Source organism: Homo sapiens, chromosome 1 (genome assembly GCF_000001405.40).
Source record: "Homo sapiens chromosome 1, GRCh38.p14 Primary Assembly".
Taxonomy (NCBI): Eukaryota; Metazoa; Chordata; class Mammalia; order Primates; family Hominidae; genus Homo; species Homo sapiens.
This window is the reverse complement of record NC_000001.11, coordinates 223,350,774-223,370,212: the sequence shown is the minus strand read 5'-3', so window position 1 is coordinate 223,370,212 and position 19,439 is coordinate 223,350,774. Positions and strand designations below refer to the sequence as shown.

The 19,439-nt window shown below is 45.5% G+C and overlaps 1 protein-coding gene across 13 annotated transcripts in view; it reads left to right on the top strand.

The window, feature by feature from the left end:
- Positions 1-4,977: 4,977 nt before the first annotated feature.
- Positions 4,978-19,439, top strand: part of SUSD4 (sushi domain containing 4) — a 144,405-nt gene continuing 129,943 nt past the window's right edge. For 5 of the 13 annotated variants that reach the window (NM_017982.4, NM_001410929.1, XM_017001583.2 and 2 more), the window contains exons 1-2: positions 6,037-6,156; positions 6,753-6,935. In NM_017982.4, coding sequence (NP_060452.3) covers positions 6,788-6,935 — 148 coding nt within the window. In that variant the 5' untranslated portion in view covers positions 6,037-6,156; positions 6,753-6,787. Of the gene's footprint in view, positions 5,115-6,036; positions 6,157-6,274; positions 6,367-6,446; positions 6,496-6,750; positions 6,936-19,439 lie in introns of those variants that run through there. The other 8 variants (NM_001437664.1, XM_005273169.2, XM_017001585.2 and 5 more) reach the window with 5 other exon arrangements.

Below are 19,439 nucleotides of genomic sequence, written 5' to 3'. Positions count from 1 at the left end.
TTCATAAAGCAAGTCCTGAGTGACCTACAAAGAGACTTAGACTCCCACACATTAATAATTGGAGACTTTAACACCCCACTGTCAACATTAGACAGATCAACGAGACAGAAAGTTAACAAGGATACCCAGGAATCGAACTCAGCTCTGCACCAAGCAGACCTAATAGACATATACAGAATTCTCCACCCCAAATCAACAGAATATACATTTTTTTCAGCACCACACCACACCTATTCCAAAATTGACCACATAGTTGGAAGTAAAGCTCTCCTCAGCAAATGTAAAAGAACAGAAATTATAACAAACTATCTCTCAGACCACAGTGCAATCAAACTAGAACTCAGGATTAAGAAACTCACTCAACACTGCTCAACTACATGGAAACTGAACAACCTGCTCCTGAATGACTACTAGGTACATAATGAAATGAAGGCAGAAATAAAGATGTTCTTTGAAACCAACAAGAACAAAGACACGACATACCAGAATCTCTGGGACACATTCAAAGCAGTGTGTAGAGGGAAATTTATAGCACTAAATGCCCACAAGAGAAAGCAGGAAAGATCCAAAATCGACACCCTAACATCACAATTAAAAGAACTAGAAAAGCAAGAGCAAACATATTCAAAAGCTAGCAGAAGGCAAGAAATAACTAAAATCAGAGCAGAACTGAAGGACATAGAGACACAAAAAACCCTTCAAAAAATCAATGAATCCAGGAGCTGGTTTTTTGAAAGGATCAACAAAATTGATAGACTGCTAGCAAGACTAATAAAGAAAAAAAGAGAGAAGAATCAAATAGACGCAATAAAAAATGATAAAGGGGATATCACCACTGATCCCACAGAAATACAAATTACCATCAGAGATTACTACAAACACCTCTATGCAAATAAACTAGAAAATCTAGAAGAAATGGATAAATTCCTCGACACATACACTCTCCCAAGACTAAACCAGGAAGAAGTTGAATCTCTGAATAGACCAATAACAGGAGCTGAAATTGAGGCAGTAATCAATAGCTTACCAACCAAAAAGAGTCCAGGACCAGATGGATTCACAGCTGAATTCTACCTGAGGTACAAGGAGGAACTGGTACCATTCCTTCTGAAACTATTCCAATCGATAGAAAAAGAGGGAATCCTCCCTAACTCATTTTATGAGGCCACCATCATCCTGATACCAAAGCCGGGCAGAGACACAACCAAAAAAGAGAATTTTAGACCAATATCCTTGATGAACATTGATGCAAAAATCCTCAATAAAATACTGGCAAACCGAATCCAGCAGCACATCAAAAAGCTTATCCACTATGATCAGGTGGGCTTCATCCCTGGGATGCAAGGCTGGTTCAATATACGCAAATCAATAAATGTAATCCAGCATATAAACAGAACCAAAGACAAAAACCACATGATTATCTCAATAGATGCAGAAAAGGCCTTAGACAAAATTCAACAACGCTTCATGCTAAAACCTCTCAATAAATTAGGTATTGATGGGACATATCTCAAAAGAATAAGAGCTATCTATGACAAACCCACAGCCAATATCATACTGAATGGGCAAAAACTGGAAGCATTCCCTTTGAAAACTGGCACAAGACAGGGATGCCCTTTCTCACCACTCCTATTCAACATAGTTTTGGAAGTTCTGGCCAGGGCAATTAGGTAGGAGAAGGAAATAAAGGGTATTCAATTAGGAAAAGAGGAAGTCAAATTGTCCCCGTTTGCAGACGACATGATTGTATACCTAGAAAACCCCATTGTCTCAGCCCAAAATCTCCTTAAGCTGATAAGCAACTTCAGCAAAGTCTCAGGATACAAAATCAATGTATAAAAATCACAAGCATTCTTATACACCAATAACAGACAAACAGAGGGCCAAATCATGAGTGAACTCCCATTCACAATTGCTTCAAAGAGAATAAAATACCTAGGAATCCACCTCACAAGGGATGTGAAGGACCTCTTCAAGGAGAACTACAAACCACTGCTCAATGAAATAAAAGAGGATACAAACAAATGGAAGAACATTCCATGCTCATGGGTAGGAAGAATCAATATCATGAAAATGGCCATACTGCCCAAGGTAATTTATAGATTCAATGCCATCCCCATCAAGCTACCAATGACTTTCTTCACAGAATTGGAAAAAACTACTTTAAAGTTCATATGAAACCAAAAAAGAGCCCGCATCGCCAAGTCAATCCTAAGCCAAAAGAACAAAGCTGGAGGCATCACACTACCTGACTTCAAACTATACTACAAGGCTACAGTAACCAAAACAGCACGGTACTGGTACCAAAACAGAGATATAGATCAATGGAACAGAACAGAGCCCTCAGAAATAACGCTGCGTATCTACAACTATCTGATCTTTGACAAACCTGAGAAAAACAAGCAATGGGGAAAGGATTCCCTATTTAATAAATGGTGCTGGGAAAACTGGCTAGCCATATGTAGAAAGCTGAAACTGGATCCCTTCCTTACACCTTATACAAAAATCAATTCAAGATGGATTAAAGACTTAAATGTTAGACCTAAAACCATCAAAACCCTAGAAGAAAACCTAGGCATTACCATTCAGGACATAGGCATGGGCAAGGACTTCATGTCTAAAACACCAAAAGCAATGGCAACAAAAGCCAAAATTGACAAATGGGATCTAATTAAACTAAAGAGCTTCTGCACAGCAAAAGAAACTACCATCAGAGTGAACAGGCAACCCACAAAATGGGAGAAAATTTCCACAACCTACTCATCTGACAAAGGGCTAATATCCAGAATCTACAATGAACTCCAACAAATTTACAAGAAAAAAACAAACAACCCCATCAAAAAGTGGGCAAAGGACATGAACAGACACTTCTCAAAAGAAGACATTTATGCAGCCAAAAAACACATGAAAAAATGCTCACCATCACTGGCCATCAGAGAATTGCAAATCAAAACCACAATGAGATACCATCTCACACTAGTTAGAATGGCAATCATTAAAAAGTCAGGAAACAACAGGTGCTGGAGAGGATGTGGAGAAATAGGAACACTTTTACACTGTTGGTGGGACTGTAAACCCGTTCAACCATTGTGGAAGGCAGTGTGGTGGTTCCTCAGGGATCTAGAACTAGAAATACCATTTGACCCAGCCATCCCACTACTGGGTATATACCCAAAGGACTATAAATCATGCTGCTATAAAGACACATGCACACGTATGTTTATTGCGGCACTATTCACAATAGCAAAGACTTGGAACCAACCCAAATGTCCAACAATGATAGACTTGATTAAGAAAATGTGGCACATATACACCATGGAATACTATGCAGCCATAAAAAATGATGAGTTCACGTCCTTTGTAGGGACATGGATGAAATTGGAAATCATCATTCTCAGTAAACTATCGCAAGAACAAAAAACCAAACACTGCATATTCTCACTCATAGGTGGGAATTGAACAATGAGAACACATGGACACAGGAAGGGGAACATCACACTCTGGGGACTGTTGTGGGGTGGGGGGCGGGGAGAGATAGCATTGGGAGATATACCTAATGCTAGATGACGAGTTGGTGTAGCGCACCAGCATGGCACGTGTATACATATGTAACTAACGTGCACATTGTGCACGTGTACCCTAAAACTTAAAGTATAACAATAATTAAAAATAATAATAATAATAACAATATGTTATGCTGTAGTTGCCCTCCAAATGCTTGTCTTCTTCAGCTGAATTAATAGAAGCAAGTTGTTTAAAATACAGAAAGCAACAGTACCGGCCTGTACTGGTCAGAACCCACAGAGGGAAAGTAGGGCCTCTTTCTGGAAACAAACTTTGATTGCTGGGGGTGGATATCATTGAGAAACTGGGTCAGAGAAAGGCCACAGGCTGGTGAAAAGTCTGGGAATCGTCGCACTGAAGGAAATGGCTATGCGTGACCCAGAGAAGAGAAGACTCAAGGGAACACGAAGCCATCTCCAAAGCCATGAGATGCTCTCTTAAGAAAGAGGAATTCTATTTAGCTGCGTGGGCCCACAGAGGAGAGCCAGAATCAGTGGGTAAAGGTTTCAGGGAAGTAGATTTCAGTTCAATATAAGAAAGACTTTTCTAAGAGACCTGCTGGCAAATATAAACAGGCTACCTTGATGAGTATTCAGTGAGGCTGAATGACCACTTATTAGAAATGTCAGAGAGGAAACTCAAGCATAGATCCCATGTTTGGATCAGATAAACTTGAATGTTCCTTTCAGTCCCAACATTCTCTGTTAAAATTAGATTGTACTCCAGCCAAAGAACAGATTTCAATGGCACTTAGATATATCTCTTATAATTGTTAAGAACATGTGCATGGTCAACAAATATTTCTGACCGTTGTTGATTTGGTGGATATTTAAAAAGATTTAGAAAATTTACTAAGAAAGAAAAATGGAATAAATATACAAACTGTAGAGGACAGTCACAGGACCTTGGGAAGGTGGATGGTCCCCTACTAAGATTTTGGGGTCCCAAAGTACAAGCTGTAGCAAAACTGGACTTGTGCTAGTCAACATCTTGTTTATTTTGTGCAAAGCTGCCATCTCAATTTCACACACACGCAAAAGCAAAAAACAAAATAACGGAGCTTGACTTATCTACTAAAAGCTAATCTATCCTGAAAGAATGTGTTAAAATTACTCCCAGTAAGAGCTGACACAGTATAAAAGCTGTAATTTCCCAACTACCATCAGTATGTGAGATTTTGGGAAAGTCGATAGAAGCAAAGGATGATTTAGTAGCTGTATCAGGAACATAGTTTTCATATCCACAAATTGCTACAGAATCATGGAGTGTCACTGGCTCTAAAGCGCTGCCGGTGGACGCCACCTCATTAGCTGACACCTCTTAATCACTGTGGCTGGAATGTGGGCTTCCCTATCTTGAAACCGACCGCGGGCGATCAGAGCCGGCGGCGAGTGAGAGCTGCAACCACTGCGGGCTGAGCTCCGACACCAGAATCGGCGCAGAGACAGGGGACCGACCAGGCCAACTCTCTCCACTTGGGGCTGGGAGGGCAATTACCACCGACCCCCTTGGCTTCCCATCTACGACCCCGGAAGCCTCCCCTCCTCCAGGTACCCAACCTTCTGCGTGTCACCAATCACCCGCTACCCCCGCCTCCCCGCCCCCGGGAGCGCCTCCCAGGCCAAGGCTCCGAGGGCCCCGCGCATCTCCAAGACCGGACAGGGGTCCTCACTCGCAACACCTGCGGCTGGCAGAGGGAAAATACCAAGGGTGTGGGGGAGGGGGAGAGTGTCTCTCAGCCGCCTCAGATGGTCCTTCGGGCTCCCTGGGGACGCGCAGAGCTTCGGCGGAGATGGGAGCGGGGAGGGGTTAACGCGGGAAATTAAGAGACTCGGGCAATTGGCGGTGCTCAAGTTAACCGGGTCTGTGGCGAGAGTTCTGGGGTTGGGAGCTGCCGGCCGCGCACTCGCCCCGGGTCTGCAGCCACCGCCGCGGCGGTAGTTCTAGGGCGGAGCGCTCTCCCGCGCCGCGCCGCGGGCTGGGGGCACCAGAGGCCGCGCGGAGGCCGGGGCGGGCACCTGAGCTGGCGCGCAGCCGGGGCAGGGGCTGCAGTCCAGCGCCGGGGAAGGGGCGACCGAGCTGCGTGCGTGTGCAAGACCGGCCGCCGGCGCCTCGCGCCCCGACAGGTGCAGGCGCGCGGGCTTCCCATTGGTCGCGGCGGCGGGCCCCTTTCCCCGTCCCCGCCCTCGCCAGTCTCCGGCCACGCCGCGGCGCCGGCTGGGTTGGCAGAGGCGCGTGCTCGCGCGCCCGCGCACCCCTCGCCCCGTCCCCGCCCCCCCACTCACCCCGTCCCCACCCACTCCCTCTCTCCGCGCCGCCGCCGCCGCGCGCTCGCGAGTTCAGGTAGCGGGCGCGCGGGCGCCTCCGCGGGGGCGCGCGGCCGGGCTCCCGTCCTCCCCCAACACCCGCCCGCTCGGGGGCGCCTGGGGAGGGAGCGCGCGGGCGGGGGAGCTGGAGCCGAGCGCCGCCGCCGAAGCTTCCGTCTCGCTCGCTCGCGCAGCGGCGGCAGCAGAGGTCGCGCACAGATGCGGGTTAGACTGGCGGGGGGAGGAGGCGGAGGAGGGAAGGAAGCTGCATGCATGAGACCCACAGGTAAGACCGACAGTCCCGGAAGGGTCTTCCATTCCGAGGAGGCGCGCGCAGGCCGGGGAGGGGGAGTTGGTGCCTGGTGCAGCTCCCCAAGGGAGAATTTTTTTTTTTTTTTTGACAGCGCAGAGAAATCTCACTGGGGACTGGGGCAGTAGGATCGATCCCAATCCCGAGGAAAACCAGAGAAGTAGCTGGGGGAGACGGTGCCACATTGTGAGATTCCCAGAGTGAAATGTATAGGCCCAGGGAAAAGTGTCTTCGCGGCCCCGAGACGCGGGGAGGCTCTAGACTTTCCTGTGGTGGGCACAGCTGCTGAATCCCGGGGACCGGCGCGGAGCCAATGTGCGCTAACCCCTGCCCTCCCTCCTGTCCTCCATCCCCCAGCACGCGCAGCATCCCACGGCGGCTGTTACTCAGTGCACCCGGCTCGGGGGAAGGCGGGGGACCTCGCCGTGGGAAAGGGGGCGGGGGCCGCGCGGGGGAGGAACCAGGATGGAGCCTGGGAAGCCGAGGCGCCGGGTCCCAGAGCGGAGGAGGGGGAGCGTGGCCCCCGAGCCCGGACAGACTGGCTTATTGTGGTGTTCCGCTTCTGGTTGCAGACTCTTGCAAGCTGGATGCCCTCTGTGGATGAAAGATGTATCATGGAATGAACCCGAGCAATGGAGATGGATTTCTAGAGCAGCAGCAGCAGCAGCAGCAACCTCAGTCCCCCCAGAGACTCTTGGCCGTGATCCTGTGGTTTCAGCTGGCGCTGTGCTTCGGCCCTGCACAGCTCACGGGCGGTGAGTGACCCAGCTGTGGTGGGAGGGCCTGGGGATGGCCCAGAGGGGAGAAAGAGCCTAGCTGCCAGGACAGCCCTGCACCCCTCCCCCATACACCCAGACTTCAGGAGGATCTGACAACGCGAGGGTGCCTGCGTCCCAGCCTATGGCCGCCCTTCTCCGAAACCGCTGGAGTTCCCTGAAAATTCCCATGTGGAGCCCGCACAGATTCACACACCCACATTCTGTCTGGAGCTTCCCACCAGCCTCCGGGCCTGGCTTCTCCCAAGGAAAGACAATAAAGCCTGGCCCATTATTCCCACTTTGGCCAAGGAAGCGGGGGCGGGGGGGGGAGGGGTGGGGGGTGGGGGCAGTGGGGAGTGGTGTATTTGTGGACCTCTTGCCAATGCCTTCAGCAGATAGAGGTCAGATTTCAGCCTCTGGATTTAAGCAAGAGTTTAAGAACCACCTTTGAGAATGTGAAGGGTCTGGAAACGTGGTCAGACTGGCTGCGGGGCAGGTTTATTTGAAAGTTAACTTTCCCTTCCCCTGTGTGTGCAGCATGTATGTGTATGTTGGGGGCGTGGAGGAGGTGCAGAGGTATTCTTTCAGGTGTGCCTCTGACAGATTGCTTTGCTCATCGAGGTATGATTTCAGGGAATAAAGTCAGTTGCTCTTCTATGAAGTAGAAGTTAGCTGAAATAAAATTGATAGCCTCAGCCTCCGTGGGCGGCTAATCTATAACATATTTGGTTCTGGGGGAGGGGTATCTTTTAGTTGTGGTAGAGGAAGACAGATGGAGTTCCTGTCTGAATTTGAGAGCCTAGTCTCCCTGCCTCCACTGCTCATTGCTGTCCATCATTCCTGTCCATTGCAAACGTTCTCTAGAGCTTGCTGATGTGGACGTTAAAAGGAGCTGAGATACTGTTAATATATAAATAAATTATCTTTGGTTGAAAAGCAAGTATTGACTGATGTAAATAAACCATTTTAGCGTTTTAAAATATTGCTGTTTCAGAGAATTCAAAGGTGAAAATGGAAAAAAAATGAGTGAAAAATTAGCAAAAGTGGAGGAGAGGTGTAATAAGTTGGGCTTTAACACAGAGTAATCAATAACCCAGGCATTCCACTTAGACATCTGAAAGATGCCCAGAGTATAAAGGTGTTTATTGCAATGTGCATATCTATCAAAATTAGTGAGAAAACACTTGCTTTGGGTGGACATTGGTTTTTATTTTTATTTTTGTATTTTTTTTTTAAGAAGGAATAACTTTTTGGATGCTTGTAGTTTTTTATAGAGATTTCTCTGAGGCAAGCTTCCTCTTCATGGAGGAGAAGGTCAAGTGTGAGGCCAGGCCAGCACCTGTGTGCCCTGCCAGGGCTCTGGTCACAGCCTCTAATCTGCCGTGGACACCAGCTCTGCTTCACATATGAGTGGGAATAGACGGGCAGAACAGTATTGCGTGGATCTGGATCATTTCCTCCCCTCCTCTCTGCTTTTGCCTCCCAGTTCTAGCTTTCATTCTCTCAAACCAGGTCCACATGATTTTCCATCTTCTTGGTCCATTTCTCTTATGTAGATGACAGACTAGTTAATCAAGGTTCATTTACATTTGTCTTGACTATTGTTATTGGATGGGTGAGGTCTGAGCACAGCTGAGATTTGTTTTGTGCTCTTGGTTCTGCTTGGTCGTGTTTACAGAGCATCCTCCTCAACATTTCAGAGCTCAGTGTACATCATGGCCACCTCGGTCTTATGACAGTCACCTATGAGGTTCCTATAGCATGTCTTTTTTCCCTGCCTTCCTGTGGGGGATCATGCCAGGCAAAAATATCCAGAGCCTTGGAGAAGAGGATGAGAGTAAGGGTTGCCTGTCACCTGTCAGTCTCAGAGCTCTTTCTTTTTAGGCACTCATATGCTGCAGGAAGCTAGCCATCAGCTGCGTTTCACTTTGAACTCCTTCAGGCTGAGAGTGTGATTTCTGGAAGAGTATTTATCACTTCACAGTTCCTCTATGAATAAACCGTTTGGGCAAGCAAGGGTGGTGGGGGATGTCCTATAGAGTTCATTATACAGAGATTTTCTTTTTTAGGAAAGAAATGCACATGGAGGCTCCAATAAGGCAATAAAAGCAAATACACCTTAGCTCTAGACTTGTGCTTCTAAAACTTTAATGTGCATACAAGTCACCTGGGATCTTGTTAAAAGGTGGATGCTGATTCATTTGGTCTGGAGTGGGGCCTGAGACTCGGCATTTCTAATAAGCTCCCAGGTGAAGCAGTTACCACTGATCCAAGGACCACACTTTGATTAGCCATGCTTGAGACCAAGGCATTCCTTAAAATAAGTTGCTTCTGCTCCAGACTTTCTGCCATCATTCTCAATTACTGAATGCAAATGGCCTGTGAGGAGCAGAAGTCTCACCCAATATCTAATCTTCAGGTGATACACAGAGCTGAAAATCAGCCCTCGGAGAGTGCTTTTTTTTCATCCACAAAAAAGTGTATATTTAATGGACACTGTTCTGAAATGTGGATTTTCATTTTTGATTGCTTTCAATGGAAAAGGAACACCGCAATGGCAAGATATAATCGTCTCAGCTAGGAGAAAAAAAAAGCATGTGCCCAGTACAAGTATTGAAGAAAAAGCCTGAACTAGAAAGGCAGAAATTGAGAAAATGATCAAAGAAAAGTAGGAACAGGAACTCCATCAAAAATGAAATGCTTTGTCTTAGAAAGCCAGAGCTCCGATTCAGTTCTTTGAACCCTAGGGAAGCTTTTATGAGCCTGACTTGTCCTGAGATGATGTTTGGGTGGCTCTCTCCAGGTTGTCTTTTGTCGTTAAGGAAGAGTGCCCTCATTTGGGGCCACTGAGACCAAATGCTGTGCAAGAACTCATATTAGGTTGGTGGGGAGATATAGGACCCTGCCGTGTGTGGAATCTGCATGGAGCATGGCTTCAGCTGTTTCTCCCCTTTCTGCCCCAGTACACTTGACCAGAGACCTGCTGGGCTTTGAGGGATGCCCAGAGTGCCCCCCACCCCCAGGCTTCAAGGAAGAGAGCCAAGAGTTTGCTCAACAAGTGACTCCTTTAAGGTGAATTCTTTAGCACATTTCTGTATTATAAATAACTCAATCAGGCTCTGCCACTTGATAGCTTTGGGGTCTCAGGACTTGGGAGCCTCAGCTTCCTCATCTATAAAATGAGGATGACGGTGCCTAATTTATAGGGTTGGTGTGAAGGATGGAAATCATGTAGGCACTTAGTAAATGTAAATAATAGTAGGGCGGAGGGGGCTAAGACAATGCCGTGATTTTGGAGACTTTTGCTTTATTCATTCAATAAACATTGAGTGCCTACCCCGTCCTGAGCCAAGCACTGTTGCATAAATGTTATTTTTACCTAGAACTCTCTCTTACTCATTTTTTTCCTAAATGAGCAAATTTTCTCAAATTTCTTTCTATCCCCAACTTTTAAATGCCATAACTTCTCTCATATTTCCCTAGTCAGTAAGTTCTTCCCTTACTTGGGCTCCCATTGCACTAGCTGTAACCCTCTATCATAATATTGCCTCATTTACTAGACCACAAGCCCACTGAGGGCAAGAAACTTGACTTTATTCATGTTTGTGTCTCAGGCACCCAGCACAACATCTGACACACAGTAGATGTTCAGCTAATTTTGATTGAGAGCAAGAAAAAAGATTCCCAAATTACTGCCACACCATTTAGAAAATAATTGCTATGAGTGAGTTACTTTTTACAAAAGTGCAAAAGTTTCATGATAGCTGGGGCCACATCCAATTAATGGTAGCCTATGAGGTTGGAAGGAAAATCAGGAAAGGCTCTAGAGAAGAGGTAGCACTTAGGATAGGATGGTGGGGAGGGAGGGTGCATCTCAGGTGGAGGGATAGCTTGTGCAAAGGTGTGGAAGGTGGTTACATGATTGGACCCTTCAGGGAGCAGAAAATAGTCCGTTTAATCTGGAATATAGTATACCTGCAAGGAATCAGTAGGGTAGAAGGAAAAATAGGTTAGAACCTTATTGTAAAAGTCCTAGAAGCTCCAATAGGGGTTCTGAAAGTCACACAGCAGGCAGTGGGGAACCCACTGAAGGGTGGAGAGCAGGAGCAAAATATCATCTGAGCTTGGCTTGTCTTCCTTTTTCTGTTTCTAGGTCTCTGACTCATGCAAACCCCTGGTCCAGCGGCCCTCTCTGCATACCCAAGTCATGGTCCTAGTGCAGCTGAATTGAGCTCCTGGAGCCCTCATTTGGTTCATGTCGCTGTAGTGCTGTGCTCTGTGCCAGCAGGTGGAAACAGATGCTTTCTGACTGACTCACTGATTTGTAGTGTTAAGTCCCTTAGTTTTATTGAGAAACATTTTCTTACATGGTAGAGTGAAAGCTTTTCATTCAATGCTACATCTAAAATTCACAATTTCAAACTGCGCTTAATCTGTAAGCAAAGTCCCAGCTCCTCTAACTCTAATGTATGTTTCTTCAACAAAAGGCTACCTTAATATAAGCAGCATGGAGACTCTTTTGATTTATCCAGTGGGTAAAATCTGAAAGCTTTTGGAGGCAAAAGGATTTCATATAACAAGTAGCAAATCTCTTGTCTCAGAGGCCTGAAGAGGCAAGTCAGAGAATCAGTGGTTCTTTAATTTTTGAATGTAATGAAAAATGTAGGTGAAGATCTCTCTCCAGTAAACACTGATTAGATACGTGAATAAAAGCACCTAAATTATTCTGTTCCTGGTTTCAGAGACATATTTCCAAAGCTTGCAAAAGACCAACGAGGCTTGCCTTTAGATGGGAAACTCTGGTATAAACAAGTGCTCTGCATTCTTTATAGGACGGATAGAACTCAAGTTCAGCCTCTGTCCTTAAATTGCCACCTAGCTTTGGTCAAGTGGTGTGACTTCCCCTTGACTCAGTTCCTTTCATATCACTAATATTTGATTCTGCGATTACAGGAATTTGATGGATTCTAAAATCTGAGTAAAGCCAGCTCTCTTTTTCCCACCCATCCATCCATCCATCCATCCATCTTTTTCCAGTGTCTATTGTACATCCTGGGGATACACAGTTAAGGGGATACAGTCCTTTGTCCTGAGAAAACATTCAGATAAGCGTTGGTGTCTTCTCAAAAGTTTAAATGCAAAAAGCATGCATAAAATTATTTTTTCACACATATTTTAAATTCGATTTAAAATTCCGTGTTAGTGTTATTTATTGATTCTGATGAGAAAAGTGATTTTGCACACTGCTCCTCTTTATCCTTGCTGTGCTTTGAAAGCTCATTTGCTGTTTGACAATTGAAATAACCACACATAGTAACAGTATGTCTAAATAGATCATTGGGATCATTGCCTCTGAATTGAGGGGAAGAAAGGGGCAAAAGGATAGACTTTCAAATTTGTGTACAAATATGGTCCTGCTTCACCAAAACCAATCACAGTATCTAGGACTGATGGATAGATGTATATTCTTATGTATTTTATTGATTTATTGGTCCATTCTCATAAGAATGAGCTGTTCAACTATTGTTAACCATGGAAGGTTGGGAAAAGGGACAAAATTTTAAGTTGGCCGACATCTGCGTGATTGACAAAAGTTTCCAAATTGTTAATAGTACTTCAATAATAATTGAAGAGTGCTTATTACGTACCAACTCAGTTTTCCACACTTTGTGGATAGTAACTCATTTAATTCCTCACAACTGTATGAAGTAGATTTTATTATTTATCCTTATTATATAGAAGAAGAAAAGAAGGCATGGAAAGATCAAGCAACTTGTCCAAGTTCACCTGGCTTACAAGTGGGGCATGGTGACCCAGATTATTCTTTTAATGATAATCTTTCTTTTAGCATGCCAGGACTTGGAAATCCCAATCCCTAAATACATTTTTTTCTTTGTATTGTATTTGATTCAAACATTTTTCTTTAAGCTGAGTTAGCAAGTATTTTGGAACACCCCCTGCCCTGAGAGAAGGGAACTCTTGTGTGTTGTGAGCAAAAAGCAGAAAACATATAAACAAATCAACACAACAACAAGAAAATCCCACAACCCAAGACAAAGTGAAGGCCAGAGTGCCTGAATCTTGGGCTCTGAATGGTGAATGGTAAGAGGACAGAAACCCATGTGCCAGTCCTTTTGTGCCTGTTGGAAGAAGGTAGTCAGAATGGGTTGTGCTTGACTCTTACCTGCTTTGCCAAGGGTGAGTAAACAAGTGGCTGGTTTCTGGGGCCTTCTGCTAGTGACTGTCACTGCCGTCACCATTCCCTTCTGATGGTTCTCTGAGCTCTGTTGCTCCCTTAGAGCCTTCCTAAGAGTGGTTCTTTTTCATGTAACTTGGACAAGCACTTGACAAGTACAGTTTGCAAGATGTTTTTAGCTGTATCGCCACCTTTAATTTTCTTAACAACCTAGTAAGATAAGGAAGAGATTTTGAGTATTTCTCTCTCTCTTTTTTGCTTTCTGCCTTTTTTTGTTGTTGTTTGTTAAATTTCAAGAGACGTCCTCAGTGAGATTGCTGTCCTAGGGTTCCACAAATATCAGACAAAGCCAGATTAGGAGCAATCTCTTCTATTGGTCAAGACTTTCCTCTTTGTTTCCTCTTTGTCATTTTGGTCCAGACTTTGAACTTATCTTCTCAACCGTATGCTGTAGATGAAAATCTAGTTAGTATATGTCAAAAGGTAATCAAAAAACAAAATCTGGCCAGGCACGGTGGCTCATGCCGGTAATCCCAGCACTTTGGGAGGGTGAAGTGGGAGAATCACTTGAGCCCAGGAATTTGAGGCTGCAGCGAGCTATGATCATGCCAGTGCACTCCAGTCTGGGCAACAGAGCAAGACCCTGTCACTGAAAAAAAAAAAAGAAAAAGAAATCTGAGATTTGTGAATGTGTGTAGAAGTTCCCCCTAAAAGGTTAAATTTGAAGTAAAAATAACATTTGATAGTTTGTGAGATCTGAGAGTCACTTACTCAGAAAGCCATGTTTCATGGTATGAGCTTAAGATGCTGTGTTTTAGGAAAGAATTTGGCCCAATATTTCTTCTTCTCTCAAGAAAAGGATGCCGTACTACCCTAAGAGAGAAGAAAACTATCCACTCAAGAAAAAAAAAAAATAGAAATAATTGAGTTGCTCAAATAGCTTCTTAATTGAGAGTATTGTAATTGCTTTATTAATCTTAAACAAGGTAAACTGGGAACATCAGAGAAGTCAAACAAAATAATTCTTGACATTATTTGGAAAGGACAATAAAGTTGGGAGTGCCATTATAGATGACTCTCCCCTGTGTAACAGAGGCATGTGCAGGCCCCAGCAGGTCAGGGCCTGCAGGCAGACAGAAGCATAACCCTATATGTGTACCCAAGAGTGCACACCCAGTCTCCAGGAATGGATTTTGGTTCTAAGGAGTGAGAGGAATTGCAGAACCTGGTAAACCTGATCAGTGATCATTTCATTATCATCCCAATCCATTGAGTTTTCAAGAGAGGATGAGTAAGGGTGACGTTCTTTGCAAATGAAGGTGTAACCCGGTTATCTCATGTTTCTGTTTGAAATTTGTGACCTTTATCTCCCAGAATTACCACCGTGGAAGTGGAGATGAGCAAGGAGGGTCACTCATGCATTATATTCCTTTTTTTCTCAGAGTAACAAAATATAAAAAGACCTTATTTTTGGGGTCTGATTACATTTATAAAATACATATGTGGTTGAATTGGGTGAATCAGGAGGAGGGAGATTCTTTTTAAGAAAGAAAGAAAATGGGCCTGGTGCGGTGGCTGACATCTGTAACCTCAGCACTTTGGGAGGCGAAGGTGGTTGGATCACTTGAGCCCAGGAGTTCAAGACCAGCCTGGGCAACATGCAAAAACCCCGTCTCTACCAAAAGTACAAAAATTAGCTGGGTGTGGCCGGGCACGGTGGCTCATGCCTGTAATCCCAGCACTTTGGGAGACCGAGGCAGGTGGATCACTTGAGGTCAGGAGTTTGAGATCAGCTTGGCCAATGTGGCAAAACCCCATCTCTACTAAAAATACAAAAATTAGCTGGGCATGGTGGCATGTACCTGTAATCCAGCTACCCAGCAGGCTGAAACAGGAGAATCGCTTGAACCCAGGAGGTGGGGATTACAGTGAGCCGAGATTGTGCCACTGAACTCCAGCCTGGGCAACAGAGCGAGACTCCATCTGAAAAAAAAAAAAATTAGCTGGGTGTGGTGGCACGTGTCTGTAGTCGCAGCAGAAGTGCAGTGAGCTGAAATCAAGCCACTGCCCTCCAGCCTAGGGGACAGAGTAAGAGCTTGTCTCAAAAAAAAAGAAAGAAAGAAAGAAAGAAAATGCATTCTTATGGTGGATTCTTTGATGTCTTTGTGTCCACAGCATTGTTCCTGTTCTAACTAGTTTCAAATTCAGATTCTCAGTACATAGAAGAATCCTTCAGACTTCCCTAAATACTTAACACCTAGAAGATTCTGATTTTCTCCAGGCAAGAAACAATAGGATCTGCTTGTTTTGTAAAAATTTAATAGGTTTAGAGTTAATCTTGTGAAAGGCTCTCAACAGTCCTTTTAAGCTACCACTGTTAACCAACTCTGAGTGTCAATGTTAGAATCTAACCCAAGGATGCATTTTCAGTTAATGTTTTGTGTGTGTGTTGGGGGGCTCATCTGTATGTTTCGGTTATAGCATGCCAGCATATACTTGGTGGCTGATGAAGGCTACCTAAGTGTTTTAATTATACTTACACAAAATGGGGGTGTAATATTTTGGAAATGTACAGTTCCTCTGATTTAGAACGATATGGTCTGAATTGCTCTGTGACATTTAAAAGGCTTGCCCAGATTTTTCCCCTTGGATTGTAAATGGTGGACTAGGCTTTTTTCTATCATTCTTCCGTTTATAGCATTGCTTTGTGGATGCGAGGTGTTCTTTTTTTTTTTTTTGGAGGCTGAGGAGTTATGCTGACCATCAGCATTGGTCATAATAAGAATTTTTAAGAAACCAACAACACTTTATTCTGGCAATTGATTGCTCCTCTTATTTGGGGGCGGGAGACTTATTTGTGTATTATTTGGTTAATGTTTAAGTAATCTGAATTCTGGATGCCCATGTCAATGAACAGAAAGTTGACAGAGCCAGAAGGGAGGAAGCCTATGATGAGGGGGTGGAGAATCCACATAGAGCTGTCCGAGGCTCAGCTGCAGAAGAGTCAGAACCTTTTCTTTTTGCTACTTTCTTTTTTTTTTTTTCTTGAGACAACGTTTCACTCTTGTTGCCCAGGCTGGAGTGCAGTGCCACGATCTCGGCTCGCTGCAGCTTCTGCCTCCTGATCTCAAGCAATTCTCCTGCCTCAGCCTCCCGAGTAGCTTTCTAACCTTCAATGGGAGGACAAAGCTAAGAGGAGGAGTAGAGTACAGCAGGGTCAGTGTGGCCATGAGTGGCTTTGGGTGTCTCCCTTCCTAGGGACATTGAGCAGAGGGGTCTGTCACCTGAACACTGCAGTGATGGTGGCCAGGGGGCGTCATCCCTGCTGCTGCCCCTTCCTCTGTCCTGGGGCACCGGGATTTTAAAAAATGTGCTCAGCCCTCCGGATACAGATTCTCCCTGCACAAATTTTTTGGCAGCGCTGTCCCTGAGTTTTTCAAAGATTCAGTGTTCTCTGGCTGTCAGTTCATCTTCAAAGTATTCAATTGTTAGAGAGTGATCTCTCCATCACCCCACCCTCTGTGACCAGCTCTGTCACCTCTGAAGCAGGTCCCTTAACCTTGCCATTCATTGGTTTCTTCATCTGTAAATCAGGGGCCATAAGACTTGTTCCTCTGGACTTCACAGGGACATAGGATGTGCTGGTATACAGGAGGCAGTGTCAGAGGCATTTCGTAAATACAAAACAGAGTTATTATTGAGCGTCTGGAGGGAGACACCTCTCCACTGCACATAGGGCTATTTTTGCCTTTTGCCTCCCTAATTACAAAGGGAGGGTAAGGGATGCTCTGCACAGCATGTAAACGCCTTCCCACGTGCAGGTCCTGACCCCCGTGAAAACTCATTGTGTGTGGACATGATGTCAGGCAGCTAGAGGAGCTGTTTTGCTGCAAAATGGGATGTGCCAGTCTGTTCTCAGTGCCTGCTGCTGGCATGTTCAGTGAATGGTGACGTCTGGAAATGGAAAAGGTCCTTGTGGTGTTGAGAGGAACTTCTCAATAGCTGTTGGCCCAAGCCCGGTCAGCTCCTTTTGTGTGCTCACAGAAGCCTCAGGAAAAAGAGATTAAACATGTGAAGCAGGCGAGTGATTTGTTATAGGTGCTCCGGAGGTCCATGAGGGAGGGAGGTGGTCCATGAGGGAGGGAGGTGCTCCATGCATCCCTTGCTCTGCTTCCCCCTTATCTAGCATGCTATTTCTGTTGCTGGATGCTGGAGGTGTGCGGGCATGGTGAGTTCGCCCCCATGGGCTCAGGTAGGACAGTGGGGTGAACTGGGAGTTGCATTTGAATCCAGTGACTCACTAAGTGCTTATCCTTGTTGTTGACTGCCTCCTCTCACCTCCAGCTGCCTGCTATCTCTAACTCTTGGGAGTCCTCTATAGCTTTGCAGGTAGGATGCTGCTTCTGGGTGTCTGTGGGCTGGAGATCTTGGGATTCCTAGTCCTTTGCAGGAATGCCTGGAAATCCTCTGCAGTCCAGCCTCAGAGCCCTTCAGGAAAGCAGCCTGATAGCCTGCCAAGAGTACCTTGCTGCAGCCTCTTCTCGGCCCCAGACCTTCCTAGATCTTTGCCACCCATGGGCCCCTGGAATGCCAGGGCCTGATTTGAGGAAGCGCTCCTTAAAGTGCAGTCTGTGCAATGGGCTTTGAATTAATCAGGGAGGGTCTTGTATGGTTTAAGGAGGTAGCAGGGCATTTATCTATCCCCTCGAGAGTGGCTTTGCTGAAAATCTGCTGCTGCAGTTTTCATTTACATGGAAATGAGCACACAGAGAGCTCTTGCCCCTTGTCATCTCCAGATGAAGGAAGACCCAGTTCTTTGGGAGCTCTTCAAACACACAGATTATCTAAAGCTGGGAGTGAACCTACCCTATCTCTGTAGCAGTTGCCTTTGCATCTTGGGTGGAATACTGCAGCCACACTCAAGGGTAGACTCCTGTTACTCTGTCATTGCTGCTATTAAAATTGCTGTTTCTCAATTTCCTCCATGTAGTGTGGTTAACAGGGGCTTTAATCGAAAGCAGAGCTGGCTACCTGGCCTCTACCTTCACTTTGCTACATGGTTTCTGTGCATCTTGCTGCCTACGTGCCTTGGTCTTCTAATACTTGGCGTTTTCCTATAGTGCCTGCTGTGTTGATGTTGTTGCTAAACTGGGTCATGTTCTCGGTGATGTAGCCTAAGCTAACGTCCATGGAAATGCAAAAGACTGTACCAGCCCATTGCTTCCTGGACCTTCAGTTTACATTGAAACTATTCTTTCAGTACCATTACTGGATTAAGATACACACACTTTCATAAGGTTGAAGAGTGAGATGGCCACACGTTCACATGAATGAATGCACCCAGGATGATGCATGGACTTGGAAAATCTAGGGTGGAACAAAATTCATGTTAGCCCTGCTGACCCCATTCATTGACTCTACCCTAAGCCTCTGTGCCCTCTCCTCCAGCTGGCCTTTCCACAGCTGTTCCTGCATCTGGGCGCCCCTCTGTCAGCTTCCATCTCACTGCCACAACCTCCTGTGACTCTCAGATGGTCCTTGGCTTCCTCCCCAGCTCCAGGAAATCTCTGTGTTCTCAGAACTCCCAGAGCACTAGAATCATGGTGTGGTGTGCTGGAGAGAGCCTAGGAGATGGTCTGGGCCAGGGTTTGCATGGAGCCTTTTGCTCTCCTGCAGGGTCTTCCTGGACAGAGTGGGGACTGAGGGCACCTGGCTGAGCAAGCTGCCCCTGGACAAACCTGCTCCCACTTGACTGTGCCCCTACTTTAGATGTTGTGCTCCCTCATATCCTTTCACCAACATATGAAAATTTTGCACATAGTGCAGCTGTATCATTCTAGAGATGAGGGGAAATAAGGGCCCTGTCACCATGTGGCAATCCGGGGGGACTGGAATCCTTGCTCTACTGCTTTGGTGGCTTTATATGTGGGGCAAGCCCCTTAATTGCCTCTGCCTCAGTTTCCTCTTCTGTAAGATGGGGGATAATAGTACCCATGTTATAGAACTGTTGTGAGAATTAAATAAGTTAAATCTATAGAAACACACAGAAGAATGCCTATTATGTAGTAAGATTTCAATAAATATTGGTATCTTCATTGTTATTGTTATATTTTTAGTTATAAAAGCTCCTTAAAGCTAGGATCCACAACCGATTTATCTTTTTTTTCACCTGACTGTGGCCTGTGTGTTCTAGATTCTCAGTAAACCTTTGTCTACCAAGTTACAAATGTGGGAAGGACTGAGAGCAAACCCTAATGTGAGACCTCTGCAGCCCACATTACAGATTCCTCCAGGGCAGGCACTGT